Genomic DNA, 19,624 nt, shown 5'->3' on the forward strand with positions numbered 1-19,624 from the left:
CCAAAAAATTTATTTTATATTACATAAAAGGATATCTTCTAAACAGATAACAGAATAGTGAAAATCTTTCTGAGCCACCACCACCACAACTTGGGTAGAACAGGAGTTGGATCAATGTATTTCTAGAAAGAAAGGCAAGGAGAAAGCCATAATGGTAGTTTAAAAGTTTGTTAGGTTTAGAAACATTTTTTAAGATGTCCTCTAAAGGGTTCTAAAGTATTTCTACAATAAATAGTACACTAGCCTTGGTGGCTTATGCCTATAATTCCAACTACTCAGGAGGCCGAGGAGGGAGGATTGCTTGAGGACAGGAGTATGAGACCAGCCTAGGCAGGTAACATAGCAAGACACCTGTATTATACATACCTATACAAATAAATAAATAATTTTTAAATAATAAAATAAGAGGAGCCCCTTTCTCCTCTACTTAGAATTTAATTTTACCCAGTAACATACATTATATCAAACTTGTCCAACCTGCAGCCTGTAGGCTGCATGCGGCCCAGGATGACTTTGCATGTGGCCCAACACAAATTCATAAACTTTCTTAAAACATTATTAGTTTTTTTGGCAATTTTGGTTTTAGCTCATCAACTATCATTAGTGTTAGCGTATTTTATGTGTGGCCCAAGACAATTCTTCTTCTTCCAATGTGACCCAGGGAAGCCAAAAGACTGGACACCCTTGCATTATATTTAGTTAAAAAAAAATTACCTGTATATAACTAAAAACTGTAAAATATGTCATAACACATTGCAAGAGAAGAAACTACTACCATCATATGATTGTTGTGCTGGTTCATGAAGCAGTGTTTGGCATCTGCTTGTGAGAACTGGCACTACATGTACTCATAATTCAAGAATGTGTGTCATCCCCACTTAAAAGTCAAGAGCTCAGTAATGAACCTTTCCCACTTTGAGACAAAAATACACATCAAAAACCTTCAAACACCCCTTGACAAAAAAAAACCTAACAGTCATTCATTTACCCATTTGTTCATTCATCAAACCCTTGAACACCTGGGGGCTCTATGCAAAACACTAGGCTAGGCAATGAGAATACCAAGATATGCAATACACAGTACATGCCCTTATGGAACTCACAGTCTACAGTTTGTAAGACAAAGCATGTTTACTGTCTAAAAATGCCAAAATCTAATCAGCATACTAAGTTTTTAATTAGAAAAAGTTTAATCATTTCTGATGATACATTTGTATATACATGTGAGTGTGATACATATACACCTACATATTTAAAAATGTACACACACTTTTTCAGTGCTTCAATTTTAGATAACTTAATATGGTTTGATATGGAAAGAGCATGAGTCTAGGAGTCAAGACTTATGTTCTAGTGAATCTCAGCTGTTTATTAGCTACATGACCTAGGGCAGGTTACTTAACTTTCATTAGCCTGTTTCCCAGTACATGAAATGAAAGTAATAATACCTGTTTTACCTACCTTACAGGCTTTTTATGAAGATAAAATGGCAATAGATGTAATAGTGACTATTAAACTGTAGAACTCTACACAAACATGTTATTATAATCTAAAACATGAGAACTCATTATTTTAACTTTCAAAGCTATTAAAATATCTAGAATACTTTCATGTAAGTTTTTAAGTGAAACAATCTCAGCTTAGTAGCAAAGTCTTACTTCTTTAAGACTGTTGAAGACTTAATGAAAATTAAGTTAATGTTGAAATTAATGTTGAGTTAATATGAATGAGAACTGAATTAAATGTTAAAGAACTGCTACCTGTCAAAAGTTTCTCAAAGGACCAAATGCATCTTAATCACCTGGGAGCTTGTTAATCACATAGACTGGTAATTCTGAATTTCTAGTGGGTTTAGAAATCCACATATTTATCAAGCACCCAGGAGATTCTTTTTTATTTTTATTCATTCATTTTATAGACAGGGTCTCACTATGTTGCCCAGGCTAGAGTGCAGTGGCTATCCACAGACACAATCATGCTACTCTACTACCTCCAAGTGCACTGCTGCCTCCCAGACTCAAGCAATGGTCCTGACTCAGCCTCCCAAGTAGCTGAGGTAAGAGGCATGCGTTGCCATGCCTAGGTCCAGGAGATTCTTAGACACACTAAAATGTAGGAGCCACTGACATATGGTGAAAGACTACCTTTTCCAACTGACCTTATTAACAAATAAGATGAGAAAATAATGGTAACTTGATTAGAAATAAAAATAATGTGGAATAATTACTGCATTTTCCAGCTCCTCTCAAAATATTTTTTAATAAGAAAGGGTAACATATTTGGGGTATTCATTTCACTACTGTAAGTAGTGCTTAAGATAATCTGAGTTGTTACTCTTTTTCATAACTAAAAAACACAGCCACAAGCAGTTGAGAAATATACAGTAAGAATTTGGGGACATTAAATATAAAAATCCTCTTTTCCCTTGAGATAATGCTATTTAGCATAAATGCCATCTACTTGCAATGTAATACTACCATCCTGTTTCATTATATAGGTAGCAATGTAAAAACACATAATCATAATCAATGCAAATATGCTTTCTACAACTTAATAGTAAATGAGACTTCTAACATGTTCCAAAACAGAATTTTATATAAATACTATATCAAGAAAATAATGGAATTTTAAGAGTTCTTTGTCTTGGCAAATTAAATATAAAATTAGTGATACCTTCATACTATTTCAGCAGTATCAATAATATTCCAAATAGTATATATTCCTTGCTGAACTAATACAAATTTCAAATGCGCAATGTTAAACAAATTCTGTCTATGGAAAGTAAATTTTCCTAAGGCTTTTTTTTTCAAACTAAAAAAATATATAGTAGAATAGCCATTAAAGTGTATAATGGAGAATTTAAAGCTATTCATGTGGTAAAAATATACTTGAAGGCCAGGCACTGGCTCATGCATATAATCCTAGCACTTTGGGAGGCTAAGGCAGATGGATCACCTGAGGTCAGGAGTTCAAGAGCAGCCTGGCCAACATGGTGAAACCCAGTCTCTACTAAAAATACAAAAATTAGCTGGGCATGGTGGCAGGCGCCTGTAATCCCAGCTACTTGGGAGGCTGAGGCAGGAGAATCTCTTGGACCCGGGAGGCAGAGGTAGCAGTGAGCCAAGACTGTGCCATTACACTCCAGCCTGGACGACAAGAGCAAAACTCCATCAAAAAAACAAAAGAGAGAATTTATTTTTTAAATTTAATATTAAATGCTATTTTTAAAGTAAGAGATTAACTAGAAAAATAAATGCAATTTATTTTTCAAAAATGTATCTTTGCCAAAATAATTGCAACATTAAAAAAAGTATTTGTAAGAAAAATTTTGTTTATGTAAAATTGTTGCCATCTTACAGTAAAACTACAGTGCAGGAAATATTTAACTAGTAAAAGTCAAATAAAGCACTGTTAAAAAGCTTCATATAGTTCTTTAAATATCCCTTACATTAACATTTAAGAAACAAAAACCTACACACACTTTTCCTTGCAGCTGCTTTTAAAAAGCGTATATAAAGTTCCAAAACAAACCACTAAAAAAAGCCCTACATTATTGTTGCAAGTTTCTTACCAACAGACATTTCTCTGTTTGAAACAGAAGACTGCCTGTTCACTGAAATGACTAAAAACACGAAGTTGATCATTCTTAACTAGGCCGTAAGAAAAAAAAATATGCAATAAGAAAAATAATAAAGTCACTCAGTAGTGGACAAAATAGTAACAAGACAGTTACAAACCCATCATTATATGTGTGACTAACATTTTATTTTGTGTAGAAGAAAATTTCCCCTTTAGCTTATATGTAAAGCGTGTCTTTGCAGATTTCCTTTCTTCCCACCCTTCATGTTCAAGTCAAAGAAAGCTTAGAACATTCAAAACACATCTGTAAATTTCAACTAAAATTTGAAGTAACAGAACAGAGCCTGAAAACAAACAAACAAAAAAAATTATTCTATTCTCTAACAGCACCCCACTTCCTCCAAAAAAAAAAGCCAAACAAACACAAAATAATACTTTCAAGTTTTAACAAATTTTCAAGCAACATATTTGATACATTATGTAAAAGTGAAAACATCTCAAGGTCATTACAGTGTGATTATACCTCCTTTGTGGGTAACTATAACATTGTATTATCTTCAGACAGAAAGGGATGCATCAATGTCTCTATCTGCCCAATGCCAAAAGAAGTAGAATCAACAGACAGGAAATTCAAAGGCTCCAAATAAAAGAAAGCACAGTACTGGAACCAGGGAGTTGGCAAATGATTCTCTATTCTTTTGGCATCTGCACATACTTTAATGTCCAATCAATGCTTACCTCCCACTAAAGCCATCCATGTCACCCAAAATGTTCACTCCCTCCTGTGAAGGAACAAAGCCTGTGTTCTAGGTCATTTGGCATTTATCATTTGCTTACTTATGTATCCTTTTCCCTGTGTATCATCTAACTTGGCAGGTATACTTTAAGCTTTTCAAGGGAAGGACTGTTTTCTTCCTTTCTTGGCTTCACCATGTTAATTCATCTTTTGTTCTTTCTCAAAGATGTCAAGCTTCCTGCCTCCCTTTTCTCTCCTACTGCCACAATCTCCACTTTACGTGTATGACCACAAACTTAAATGGGCCCTCAGCACTATCAAAAGACTCATTCGTAATCTCAAATCAACCCACTCTCCAAAATAACTAATTCACTGCTTCTTCTATAATACCTCCAAACTCATGCTCAGCTCATTCCCTTGTTTCTTACTTCAGTGAGCAAATACAAGCTATCAGAATAAAACTTCATCTTCCCACTCCAAAATCTACCCATATACTTTGCTTTCAATATTGTTAAAATGAATGCACACTCCCTGCTCCTGTTAAAGGTCACTCTCTCCACTTGTGGACTGCATTCCATGATTTCCCACTTATTTGAAATTTTGCTCCTAGAATTATTCCTTCCAGCTCCTGCATTGTCGATTCTTCCCTTCCCAGTAGATCATTCTCAGCACACAAACATTTTAGAATTGCATTCCTCTCTTTATGCTAGAGATTTCTCATTTTTACAGTGGGGGTCAAAACAGTACTACTACATAAAATTACCGTGAAGTTTATTGTAATTACAATCATTACAATGTTTCAAACTTATCCTTGAACTTCATGTCCCTCTCTGGCTACCAGATTTCTCTAATATCCTTTTTGACAATCTCAAAACAATGGCTTATTCTTGCTGTTTTGAATTCCTCATTCTCTCCTGTACCTCCTTTACTCAGGCCTTTGTCTCTACTCATCCCTGAAAACCCACTGTCAAAGACATTAACAACTTATCATATAACCAAATCCAATAGTCTATTCTCAATCTTCAATGAGTAATATATCAAACCCTTACTATGCTGCCAGAAATATTCATTTATTCCCTCCAGTAACTCTGTGAGATAAATACTATAATTATCTCATTTTACAGAAGATAAAACCAAGGCTTCTAGAGGTTAGGTAACTTGCTCAAGATCATACAGCTTGCTCAATCTCTTAGAAAGTCCTAGAGAAAATCCCATTATCATTTTAACAAATATTCCCCTACTCAATTTCTTCACAAGCAACAAGGTGCTATCCTCATGTTCCTATTCACAATGACTCTCAATCTCTCTTAACCCATGCCCATTCCAAAAAACAAACAAAAATCTCTCTCAATTGGCCTTTTACATATTATATTTAGCATAAAATCAGTAGCTAAATATATTTAGCATATAAATATATGCTAAATATATTTAGCATAAAATAAGTAGCATAAAATCAAGGCATATGAATAGAGAAAAGAAAACGTGACAAATAGTCAAGAGAAAAAAACAGATAATGGAAAAAAAATCTCCAGATGATCAAGATGCTGTAGTTAGCTAATGAGGATTTTTAAAAAACTTACAAATACATTAAAGAATGGAGAAGAAAAAAATATAAAAAGTTTATTAAAACAGCAGTCCCTGACCTTTTGGCACCAAGGACTGGTTTCGTGGAAGACAGTTTTTCCAGGGATGGTCGGGGGGTTGGGTGGAGGGGGATGATGGTTTTGGGATAAAACTGTTCCACCTCAGATCGTCAGGCATTAGATTCTCAAGAAGCACACAACCTAGATCCCTCACATGTGCAGTTCGCAATAAGGTTCATACTCCTATGATAATTTAATGCCACCACTGATCTGACAGGAGGCAAAACTCAGGGGGCAATGCTGGCTCAACTGCTGCTCACTTCCTGCTGTGTGCCTGGTTCCTAGCAGGCCACAGACTGGTAACAGTTCCTAGCAGGCCACAGACTGTTACCAGTCTGTGGTCCAGGGATTGAGGAACCCCTGATAAAGAAATACAGAATTTCAAGAGAAAATTTGAACCTATAAAAATAGTTAAATGCATATTCTCAAACTAAAAAAATAAAGTATCTGAAATCAGGAACTCATTGAATAGGTTTAATAGCAGCTTGGACAAAGAAGATGTGTTTGGTTAGCTCAAAAACAGATCAATAGAAAATATCCAATATGAAGCACAGAGAGAAAGAAGAAGAGAACAGAGCATAAGGGAGAAGTGGGATGCTCTCAACACATAACACATGTATAATTAGAGTCCCAGAACAAGAGAATGTGGCAGAAGCAATAGTTGTGGGGGCTTTTGTTGGTTTTTTTTTGTTTTTTTTTTGGAGACAGGGTCCCACTCTGTCACTCAGGCTGGAGTACAGTGGCATGATCATGGCTCACTGCAGCCTCAACCTTCTGGGCTCAAGTGATCCTCCCACCTCAACTTATTGAGTAGCTGGGACCACAGGTGCGTGCCACCACGCCCAGCTAATCTTTTTTATTTTTTATTTTTTTGTTGTTGTTGTTTTAAGGGTCTCCCTATGTTGCCCAGGCTGGTCTCTAACTCCTGGTCTCAAGCAATCCTCCTGCCTTGGCCTCTGAAAGTGTTGGGATTACAGGCATGAATCACCACACCCAGCCAAAAAGCAGTATTTGAAAGTACAATGGCCAATAATTTTCCAAAACTAACGAAAGACAAGCTTAGAGATGTAAGAATCAATGAACCTTAAGCAAATAAGAAAGAGCCAGGTTTGGTGGTTCACATCTGTAATCCCAGCACCTTAGGAGGCTGAGTTGGGAGGATTGCTTGAGCCCAGGAGTTCAAGACCAGCCTAGGCAATATAGTGAGACCTCATCTCTACAAAAATAAATAAATAAATAAAAATTAAAAAAACAAAAAAAAAGAAAAAAATAGCTACTCAGGAGGCTGAAGTGAGAGGATTGTTTGAGCCTGGGAGGCTGAGGCTGCAGTGAGCCATGACTGCACCACTGAACTCCAGCTTGAGTGATGAAGTGAGACCATGTCTCAGAAAAAAAAAAAAAAAAAGTAGTATTAAATATTACCAAAGATGGAGAGGAATATTTCATAATGATAACAGAATTGTGATAATAATATCTATCATCTCATCCCAGCCCCAAAATGGCCATGCCCTGATACCTGGAGCCTGTGAATATGTTAATTTATATGACAAAGGCGACTTTGCAGATATGACTACATTAGGGATCTTGAGATGGAGAGATTTTCGTGCATTATCTCTGTAGGCCTGATCTAATCACAAGAGTCCTTATAAAAGACAAGGCAACGTGAATCTGGAAATAGAGAAAAATCGAAGAAGCTGGCTTTTTTTTTTTTTTTAGACAGAGTCTCACTCTGTTGCCTAGGCTGGAGTGCAATGGCGCGATCTTGGCTCACTGCAACCTTCGCCTTCCAGGTTCAAGTGACTCTCCCACCTCAGCTTCCCAAGCAGCTGGGATTACAGGCACTCACCATCATGCCCGGCTAATTTTTGTATTTTTATACAGACAAGGTTTCACCATGTTGGCCAGGCTGGTCTTGAACTCCTGACCTCAGGTGATCTGCCCGCCTTATCCTCCCAAAGTGCTGGGATTACAGGCATGAGCCACCGCACTTGTCCTCTGCTGACTTTCAAGATGCAAGAAGGGCCCTGAGCCCAGGAATGCAAGAATTGCAGCACTAGAAGCTAGAAAAGGAAAGGAAAGGAATTCTCCCCTAGAGCCCTTGGAGAACCTTAGTTTTGGTCCAGTAAAACCAATTTTGAACTTCTGACCTCCAGAACTATAAGATAAATTTGTGTTAAGTCACTAAGTTTGTGGTAACTTGTTACAACAACAGTAGGAAACTAATACAAGGATCAATAAAAGAAGAAAATATGAAACTCAGTTTATCTCCACCTAATAATATCAAATCTAAAAAGCAAAATTTGACAGAATAAAAGAAGAAACTGGTAAGTCCATTATCATAGTTGCATAATGTTAACTCACTATTCTTAGTAACTAATAAAGCAGACCAAAAAACAAATTAGAAGAGATATGAAAGATTTAAGCAATCCTATTAACTATCTTGACCTATTTGACTTTTATAAGACACTACACACAACCACTGTAGAACACACATTCTTTTCAAGCACACAAGTAACATTTACTGAAACAGACCATATGCTGAGCCATAAAGCAAGTCTTACAAATTCAGAAAACTGAAATTATACCAAGTTTTTTTGCTGCCCACAGAGGAATTAAACTAGAAATAAACAATAGAAACATCTAAATAATAATAATAAATTTTAAAAAACAACAACAAAAAACCTCTATATACTGGAAAATAAGAGAGCCCTCTCTCTTTTCCTCCTCCCCTGCAAAATTCTCCCCTGCAAAGTTCTCATACCCTGGAGGAATGGAGGGAGGGAGGGAAAGAGAGAGAATGCTACCTGTCCTAAAATGTCACCACCCTCATTCAGATTCATCTTGGTCTTTACCACTGCTAGCCTTCTCTGTAAAGTTTTTCCTTTTGCCTTTCCACCAATTCCTGCCTCTCTTCAAGGCCTAACTTAAACCTTGCCTTTGCCATAAAGCAGTCCCTAATTGCTTTTTGTCCATAATGATCTCAGCTTCCCCTCAACTTTTAAACTAGATATTGTCCATGCCTCTTTTAGCTCTCAACCACCTCTTATCCTAAAGTCTTATTTAATATTTTATGTGGGTAAACACTATTCTTTAATAAGAATGCCAACTGTTTAATGATATAATCTATACCTTATAGCCTTGATATGCATAGACCAGAAACAGGAGCATCAGCCAAGGAGTTTGTTAGAAATGGTGGTCTGAGACCCCACCACAGACCTAATAAATTAAAATCTGCATTTTAACAAGATCCACAGGTGACCGGAATACATATTTAAGTTTGAAATGTCATGCCTTATAGTGCTTCTCTTTAATCCACCACAATATATTGCACATTGTAAGCAATTTAATAAATACCATTCAAATTGATTTAAAAATATAACACGTATACATTTATTTTTTATTCTTTTAAAGACAGGGTCTTCCTCTGTCACCCCAGCTAGAGTGCAGTGGCGTGATCATGGCTCACTGCAGCATCAATCTCCTGGGCTCAAGTGGCCCTCTTGCCTCAGCCTCCCAAGAGGCTGGGACTACAGGCATGCACCACCACACCCAGCTAATTTTTATGTATTTTATTTTTATTTTTAGAGATGAGGTTTTGCTATGTTGCTCAGGCTGATCTTGAACTCCTGGCCTCAAGTAATCCTCCCTCTTCGGCTTCTCGAAGTGCTGGGATTATAGGTATGAGCCACTGTACCTGGCCTGCTGCTAATTTTTTTTTTAAACAGTCTCCTTCTGTCACCCAGGCTGGAGTGCATTGCCACAATCTCAGCTCACTGCAACCTCCACCTCCTGGGTTCAAGAGATTCTCCTGCCTCAGCCTGCTGAGTAGCTGGGACTACAGGTGCACGCCACTGCACCCAGCTAATTTTTGTAATTTTTTTTTTGTAGAGACGGGGTTTTTACCTTATTGGCCATGCTGGTCTAGAACTCCTGACCTCAGGTGATCCACCCGCCTCAGCCTCCCAAAGTGCTGAGATTACACGGGAGCGTGAGCCCCAGTGCCCTGCATGCTGCTACGTTTTTAACATCCAAAGAACACGTAATAAATTTAAGGTAAAAAAATGTATATTCTCAATAAGTACAATGATTAATGGTATTTTAATAGACACTTGTAAAATCCAAGCACATGGCAACATGATGTTTCTCCTGCCTGTTGCCTAGACATTATGATGCAAAAGATATTTAAATGTTTGACTAGTCACTAAGAATAATGACCCATGATGAATAACAAACTGAATGGTTGTTTATGCCTACTCTACCATCAAGTGGATGAAAGGACTTGTTGAAAAGTAATTAGCGCCCAGGTGTGGTGGCTCATGCCTTTCATCCCAGCACTTCGGAAGGCTAAGGTGGGCAGATCGCTCGAGCTCAGGAGTTCAAGACCAGCCCGGGCAACATGGTGAAACCCTGTCTCTACAAAAATACAAAAATTACCCGGGCATGGTGGCATGTGTCTGTAGTCTCAGCTACTCAGAAGACTGAGGGGTGGGAGGATTGCTTGAACCTAGAAAATGAAGGTTGCAGCGAGCTGAGGTTGCACCACTGCACTCCAGCCTGGGTGACAGAGCCAGACCCTGTCTCAAAAAAACAGAAAAAAAATTAATTAGCAATATATTATAACTAATGCATCTCCATAATTAGAGCAGTAACTCTTTACAAATACCTACTTTTGAACTACCTGAGTCCCACGTCAAGCCCTCAAAGATATGATACTTAATTTTGCTTTAAAATGCTGCACTAAAACTACTTCTAGATTTTAATAAATGTTATACAGTTTACCAGAGTACCAAAAAACTCTCATGCATTTGTGAAATTTTTAAAAATCTCATTTAAAACAAACAAATATGAATTCGGCCTTCAATCATTCTGGAGGACCTATCCCAGTGATTTTGAAATTTGAATTTGAAAGCACCTGTTTTAGTGTATTTCTTTTTTGTTTTGAAACCATTAATATAGCAAATCTTTTAGGAATGCCTCCTCTATTTTTTCAGGTCAAACATCCACTTAATTTTAATTACCTAACTGAACTTCTTCTTTATAAAAAAAAGAATACAGCACTTGAGAAGGTGCCATTAAGAATAACTAAAATTTTGTTATCTTGACCCCGTAGTATCTAAAAATCTTTGTTTCCAGTTTAAACAGATAAATTAGTAGCTTATATTGCATGCCTAGGTTCCTACACCCATTTTGGAAACAATTGGTCAATTCTTCCCTCCTGCCCCTACCTATTGAACGCTATCCCACTTAAACAAAACATCAACACCTAATCCTTTGCGTTCCTTGACCAGGTGAAATACTTAAAAGAGGTTCCTTGGGGACAACAAGAAAGTGTGTCAGATAGATGCCTACTGTCATACCTCACTTCTTTATTCTAAAAGAACAAAATTAATTCTGACAGATAATAATTTTGAAGTTCTACAAGGAATCACTAATTCAAATTACTTCAAAACTGTGAAATAGGAACTAAAAAATGATACACATATCATAGAATACAAAAATGTACTCAGGGCCAGGCACAGTGACTAATGCCTGTAACCCAGCTGAGGAAGATCGCTTGAACCCAGCAGTTGGAGGCTGCAGTACACTATGATTGTGCCACTGTACTCCGGCCAGGGTGACAGAACAAGAACTTATCTCTAAAAATAAAAATAAAATAAAAATGTATTCAGGTAGCCTCCTCTTTTTTTGCCATAATAAGATGACCATCAAATGTAACATATGGAATTAAAGCTATTTTAAGTGTAAATAGTTATCTCATAAAGTTGTTTTCCCATAAAAAAAAAATGTAATATTTGAGGCCTACAGTCCTGACAGATAAGATCAACAAAATACCATTTTAAAAAATTTACTTGTTGAAGCTAGTGAAAGTTTTGCACCAACACCCACAAAATGAACATAAACATATGTTTCAGTTTCACAAAGGGTTCAGATGTACTCTAGTTTAAAAGCTTGGAAATCTCACTTGATTCTTTCTTTTCCTTTATATATTAGCAGAAATATTCAAAATCATTCTATATACTTGAGAGATGTTTCACTCAAGGAATTAGGCATAATTATTCTTGCTGTTATCAGGAATGGTCATATAAAGATTATGTTTTACCCAATTGTCCTTTTTACTCTCTCCTCCCTCACAATTTATTCAATGACAAAAGGGCAGCTGTGCAGAAAGCAGACCAAAAGTGCTCACTATGAAACCATTAATGGTTATTACATTACTGTCTCTAATACTTTATTATCAAAAGATCTAGCTGATATTTGGCTGACAACCATGTACTACAAACATAGTGTGAAAATCATCTTTAAGAAAGAATTTAAAGCTCTAAATGGCTCTTAAAGAATTCTACACAGTCTTGGTAAGCATCTCATCCAGTTAAACGTAAGACCTAAAGATCAAATAGATACACTAGCTGTTGACAATTAGGGAGTCCCAGAAGCACCATAACTCTGGGAAGAAATCCATGCATGCAGGCTGGTAAAAACAGGTAGGTCTAGCAGTAGGCAGAGAACATTAGGAAAATGAGGTTAAGCAGCAGGCAGTGAAGTCTAAGCAGATATGCAGTCGGCCTCAGGAAAATAATGTCAGCAGGTATAAGAGACCCAATCACAAAGATTTACTTTGATTTATAACAAAAATTTAGAGAGTCAATCAACAAATGTTTATTGAAGGACTCACGAATTAGTCACTGTTCTGAATACTGGGGATCTAGATATTAATAACATGATGAAGATTACTTACTATATACAAGGTTCTGTGCTAAACATTCTGTGATTACAAGTGTTTTGTTTTTTGGATTTTTTTTTTTTTTAATGGAATGGGTTTATCAGAGAGAAAAAAAAAAGCAAAGCAAAATCAGCCTAGGACTGGGAAAACACCATCAAAACACTGCAAGTAACTGTTAGAGGTCACTGTGGACAAGCCTAATGAAGTTAGTCTAAACGCACCTGAGAAACATTGAAAATCTTTCTTAGGAAGGCTGTTCAACAGAACTGAGTTCCTGGCCTTTCCTTAAGTCAGTTTTTTTTGTTTTGTTTTGTTCCTATAGTTAAATTCAAAATCAGGACGGAAATTTTTTTAAAAGTCTGGTAGAGAATGCTTTTTTTTTTTTTTTTTTTTTTTTTTTGAGATGGAGTCTTGCTCTGTCGCCCAGGCTGGAGTGCACTGGCGCGATCTCGAATCACGGCAAGCTCCGCCTCCCGGGTTCACGCCATTCTCCTACCTCAGCCTCCGGAGTAGCTGGGACTACAGGCGCCCGCCACCACGCCCGGCTAATTTTTTTGTATTTTTAATAGAGACGGGGTTTCACCGCATTAGCCAGGATGGTCTCGATCTCCTCAACTCGTGATCTGCCCGCCTCGGCCTCCCAGCAGCCTCGGCCTCCCAAAGTGCTGGGATTACAGGCGTGAGCCGCCGCGCCCGGCCGAGAATGCTTCTTTAAAACATAAATGATTTTAGCTCCCTTATGTCTGAGAAGCTTTCCATGACCTCATCTTCCACTTCTGTAATCTGGCAGGTCATTAGAAAAGACACTTTATTAGTGTCCCTCTCAATCTGCAGGAGATATTTCAAGCTTCACATATCAGCTTCACATTTTGTTACCTTTGACTTGACTTTAACTCCTCCCACCTTTGCCTCTCCCCACCTACTCTCTATTCCAACAATGTTGGCCTGCTTTCTATTTCTGAAACATGCTGGGGAATTTCCCACTCCAGGGCTATTGTATTTGGATTCCCTCTGCTTAGACAGCTCTTCCTCTAAATATAGGCATCACATCCTTTGACCACTTCTTTCAAGTACAAGTGTTATTTGGTTGTTGATATCAGTTCAAGGAAAGCTTAATGATGAACTAACCAGTAAACGAAGCTGGTAACTAAGGTGCAGGGAGCAACAAGCCAGGGTACAAATTATTGGAATAGTGATATAAGGCATGGCCAAAATTCAGTTCCTGGAATCAAGCTATTGAAGAGCCAATAATAAAGTTTTAATTCATTCAGAAAGAAAAAAAAAGTTTATACCTACACCAAGTACTAGAGATGAAAAAAATCAAAAAGGCAACACCTGGCCCTAGTCACTGCCCTTTTAATTAATATTCTCTGATACTCTCAAAGTCTCTGGTTTGTCATCTTTAAAACAGGAATAACAATAAGCTGATTAAAATGCTCAAGTAAAAAAACTTGACAGCCGAGCGTGGTGGTTCATGCCTGTAATCCCAACACTTTGGGAGGCCGAGAAGGGCGGATCACCTGAGGTCAGGAGTTCAAGACCAGCCTGGTCAACATGGCGAAACCCCGTCTCCACTAAAAATACAAAAATTAGCCAGGTGTGGTGGCAGGTGACTGTAATCCCAGCTACTCAGGAGGCCGAGGCAGGAGAATCGCTTGAACCCGGGAGGTGGAGGTTGCAGTGAGCCAAGATAGCACCACTGCACTCCAGCCTGGGTGACAGAGTGAGATCCGCCTTAAATATACATATATATATATATGTACATATATATGTGTATATATATATATGTACATATATATGTGTATATATATATGTACATATATATGTGTGTATATATATATGTACATATATATGTGTGTATATATGTACATATATATGTGTATATATATATGTACATATATATGTGTATATATATATGTACATATATATGTGTATATATATGTACATATATATGTGTGTATATATGTACATATATGTGTATATATAGATATGTACATATATATGTGTATATATAGATATGTACATATATATATGTGTATATATATATGTACACACACACACATATAAATAAAAAAATTTTAAAAAACCTTGAGGATTCACTCTCTAATCTGCAAGGAGCCATACAAATGTTAGCTATTAGTATCATTCATTAACAGACTATAGCACTAACTCAATCATTAAATAGTAAACACCAGAACTAGCATGAAGGCCATGTGTGTGAATGGCTAGGAATGGGGCCAGAAGAAAAATGCAGTATATAAGACATTAATGAGAAAGAAACAGGATTTGGCTACAACAAGGGGTACATAAAAAAAAAGAAATTTGTAAAATGTATCAGAAGACACAGTGTTATGGGAGAGAATGATAGAAAAATATGGCAGTACTAAATTGGGGGTGGGGAAGAACCTTGAAAAATATTAAGTATGAATACAACATCTAATAATGCCAGAATCACGTGAGGAGAACAGAAAATTCTCCAGTAGATACAATTTTGTTCAGTCATGATTATATTTTCCAATATCAATGATACTGACAATTATAGCTTTTAGATTTTACCAAATTTTCCACTATTTATATTATGTTATGAAACACACAAGAAATGAAAATATATTAGCCGGCTACTTTTTAACCAGTAAGGGAACAGTTATGTGAGGCTTCTTCGTATCACTTAGCAAATGTAGCATACAAGGAAAAGATATGGCTTCCTTCATCTTATTACCTATTGAGTTCTAGAAAGGCTATACAACCAACAAAGCAATACCAATAACACTTAATTTTGTGGTCAGATCACCCTGGAAAGAACATTTGCTCCATGGAATGCTCATACTTCACTGGTCTACATCATTATGACACTATTATATTCGGTCAGGTATTGAATAATTTAAAACCTGAACTAGGGCAGCAACAAAGGGAATGGAAAATATATATATATTATTAATATAAAATACAGTATGACAAGTATGACAGTATGACAAGAAGCTCTACCACTTAAATTTTACTAGTGGGAATCCAATTTGGTCCAACTTCTGGGCAATGTCTAATTCTGTCATTTAAATAAGCAAAGAATTGGCTGGGTGCAGTGGCTTATGCCTGAAATCCCAGCACTTTGGGAGGCTAAGGCAGGTGGATCTCTTGGGCTCAGGAGTTGGAGATCAGCCCAGGCAACATGGTGCAACCCCATCTCTACAAAAAATACAAAAATTAGTCAAGCGTGGTGGTGTATGCCTCTAGTCTCAGCTACTCATGGCGCTAAGGCAGGAGGATCCCTTGAGCCTAACAGGAGAGGAGATTGCACCATTGCATTCCAGCCTGGGTGACAAAACAAGACCCTGACTAAAAAAAAAAAAAAAGAGCAAAGAGTAGCTATAGACAGAAAAACATCCAGAAAACATTGATTTTGTAAGGTCTAATCTATATCTGGACAGAGGTGATTAGTAACAGTTTTGAGACCTGCCCAGTTAGTAATTCGGTAGGAATGACCCACATACATGAAGTAATATGTTAAGTGATGAAAACATAGCAAACATTGTTCAATCCCCTCCAAAAATGCAAACACCTCTCTTGTTACTTGGGTAACTGATACATGAAAACAATATAGGACTTCCTAGAATTTTCTGAGTTCATTATCTGTTGTTCCTAATATCTGATTATGATACTTTACCCGGGCACATAAACATCCGAGTGTTTGGGAAATACTAGAAAACTACAGATGCAACAGAAATCAAGAGTGGAAGCCATTTAATTCAGAATGTTCCTCTATGAATGGTGAGCACTCAAGCTTCTACAGTAGCATCAGTGAGAATTCACCATTAATAAGTTAAAGGAAGGTCTGGTTTTGCAATAAGAGAAAGTTGCTAAATGACTATGACAAATGATGATGTTACATGATTGTGTTATAAGAACACCCACAAATTACCAAAAATGTAGCATTTATGTGATACAATTAGTGCAGCCCCCAGAACATGTTCCATTGGCTTAATTGCCCTTTGTTTCAGGGAGGAATTAACATTTTCTAAGCAACTACTATGTGCCAGGAACTGTACTTAGAATCTACATTTGTTATTTTATTAATAATTGCTATTTGTTCAATTACAGTTTCTCAAACAGTGGTTTTGTTTGGTTTGGTTTTCTCTTAAGCGGAAAAGGCACAGTATCTAACTTGCATGTGAATTTGGTTCAATGGCTGGATTCATACAAGTAAATATAGTATTTGTTAAGTGAATGAATAAATGTTGAAGAAATGAATGAATGGCATGAAATGGTATGACATGGAAGGGTATGGTTTAGTACTGGCTCTCTTCTGAAAACTCCACTTACAGGAGTACTCTGTTGACAAGTTCCTAGGTGTAGTTCTAACAGTAGAAATGCCTTGGAAACAGATTCATAAACTTTAGAGCCACAAGGAATCTTGGAGGAGATCCTTTACTCTAACTCTCTCATTTTAAAGATGATGCCAAGAGAAAGCAAGTGATTTGCCTAAAGTTAACTTATCTAGTTACTGTAAGATGCAAGGCTCAGCCCTAGTTCCTATAATTTCCATTCCTATAGTGTAAACAGTTCCTTTTTGCTACTCCCTTGAGGGTTGATTGAAGCTCCTATGTGAAGGAACCATACTGACCAGTAATGTTTACTATGAAATCACTTGAACTATTAGTATATATAAAATACTCGCATTTACGTCAAGATAGGGAAAGGATTTTTCTTACTGCCTCATAATTTAAATGAAAGTCTCAAGGTAAGTTGCTAGACACAGTCTCACATGACTTACCAAAAGGTAGCCAAACTGGCCCTTCAACCATAAGCCCTTTATCATTCATCTTCAGGCTATATAAGATAAGGCTAAAGATTCATGGTGGGGATATTTTGAAGAAATTCCAAGTTATAGAGAACATTGTTTTCTCTCTTCCTCTCCAAAGTATAAGGCAGTAGAATACCTCTCCTGTGTCAAGACAAATGAGGGGGTGGCCAAAGATTTTACTTTCAGAAATTGAAGACCTAAAAGAAGAGAATTCTGGCATCTCCATTCGGCAGAACTCAAGCACATCCCATCTCAGTATGTCCATCTCATAGAAGACAGGCCCATCTCAGAGTGTCCACCCGGAGAGGAGAGGTGAGAGTTCTGGGAAAATCTGATGTGTCCTCTGGAGACCAGATGTATAAATAAACACAGAGAAATGGCAACTGCTTCTCACCTGGAAAAGTCTGAAGACAGAAAGTAAAAAAAAAAAAAAAAAAAAAAAAATGAGAGGGCAGTAACTCAACAAGCAAGCTGCACTTTTGCTGTTTGACGAGTCACAGATATGTGATACTTCTCATTGCCCAACTGGACAAAATGAGAATGGCCCGAGAATATGCCATTTCACTGGAATTTTGCTAAGGAAAGTTGACTACAGGGGCAAAGGTACATTTGCTGTAAGAGGCTATGGGTGTATGGGAGAGTAAAGAGGTAACAGGAGCCAGGGGATTCCCAAGAGGTCAGACAGAGAGTAGAACTCTCATCACAGATGTAGCAAGGAAGCTGCCCTCAGGAGGCTTTACAAAGAACCCAAGGGTGTAATGGCCAGCTAATGAAAGCAAAAGAGAACTATAAAGAACATCAAGCAAAGAACTACGAAGAACACTAAGTTTAAAAAAAAAATCTGCTCTTCTTCCTCAAATGTGTCTCCACTCCCTGTTTTGAAGACCCAGAAACAGCAAAGTGAGTATGGAAGGAGGAATGAAAGAGCAAGTTGAGGCAGTAAGGCGAGTCCCCCTTTCCCACTGTAGGTCATTAAGTCTTCAGTCAGGATGGAGCTAAATGGAAAGAAAAGAAGAGCAAATTGGATGTTTTTGGTTTAGATTAGGCAGTACTCTAATTCCTGAAAATGACACCATTCTTACAGCTAAAAGTAAGTTGAAAGTAATGAGATCTACCCGTGAGGCTGAAAAGAAAAAAAAAAATCAGACAAATCCTGAATGAAGCATAAACCCAAATTTCCTAGCTGTAACCCACCAAATTCAACCCACCCAACAAACCAGTTATACAGTCTTCAGGAATCAGGTTTGAAAGAACAACTTTATGATCTAGGGAAATGCTCTTGATTTAACAAAAAAAAAAATAAAGTGAAGTGAAAAATGAAGGAAAACTGTACATACAATAGGATTTAATTTAGGGTTAAAGACACGTGTCACATAGTGACATTTTAGTCAATGACTGACCGCATATTCAACAGTGGTCGCTTAAGATGATAATACTGTGTTTTTACCACACATTTTCTATGTTCAGATCTGTTTAGATACACAAATGCTTACCATTGTGTTACAACTGCCTACTGTATAATGTTCAGTATAGTAACATGCTACACAGGTTTGTAGCCTAGGAGCAATACGCTCTATCATATACCCTAAGTGTGTAACAGGCTATACCATCAAGGTTTGTATAAGTATACTCTATTATGTTCACACAACCGCAAAATTGCCTAATGACACATTTCTCTGTGTCGTTAAGAACATATCCTGTTTAAGCAAAACATGACTGTAATATAAGATTATATTAAAAATATGATAGGCAGATGGCCGAGCGCAGTGGCTCAAGCCTGTAATCCCAGCACTTTGGTTGGCCAAGGCAGGTGAATAACCTGAGGGCAGGAGTTCAAGACCAGCCTGGCCAACATGGTAAAACCCTTTCTCTACTAAAAATACACAAATTAGCCGGGTGTGATAGTGCATGCCTGTAGTCCCAGCTACTCAGGAAGCTGAGGCAGGAGAATTGCTTAAACCCAGGAGGTGGAGGTTGCAGTAGGCCAGGGCTGCGCCACTGCACTCCAACCTGGGTGACAGGGCAAGACTCCATCTCAAAATAAATAAATAAATAAATATATATAATTTATATATATATATATATATACACATACACACATATATATTTATTTATATATAAAAATAAAATATGTATAATTTTATATA

The 19,624-nt window shown here is 37.2% G+C and overlaps 1 protein-coding gene across 33 annotated transcripts in view, besides 2 other annotated features; it reads right to left on the reverse strand.

Annotated features, from left to right (window-relative positions):
* Positions 1–19,624, reverse strand: part of KIF21A (kinesin family member 21A) — a 149,893-nt gene that overhangs the window by 108,951 nt on the left and 21,318 nt on the right. The gene's annotated exons all lie outside the window — the stretch shown is intronic.
* Positions 1,089–1,138: an enhancer, noted in NCBI's record as "active region_6199". NCBI's record gives its function as "activates an Ori minimal core promoter by ATAC-STARR-seq in GM12878 lymphoblastoid cells {active_cell/tissue: GM12878}" and the evidence as "EXISTENCE:reporter gene assay evidence [ECO:0000049][PMID:35858748]".
* Positions 9,838–10,576: an enhancer, noted in NCBI's record as "OCT4-NANOG hESC enhancer chr12:39805818-39806556 (GRCh37/hg19 assembly coordinates)". NCBI's record gives its function as "activates a minimal SCP1, AML or CMV promoter by ChIP-STARR-seq in naive and primed H9 embryonic stem cells {active_cell/tissue: H9 hESC(naive and primed)}" and the evidence as "EXISTENCE:reporter gene assay evidence [ECO:0000049][PMID:30033119]".

Source organism: Homo sapiens, chromosome 12 (assembly GCF_000001405.40).
Source record: "Homo sapiens chromosome 12, GRCh38.p14 Primary Assembly".
NCBI lineage: Eukaryota > Metazoa > Chordata > Mammalia > Primates > Hominidae > Homo > Homo sapiens.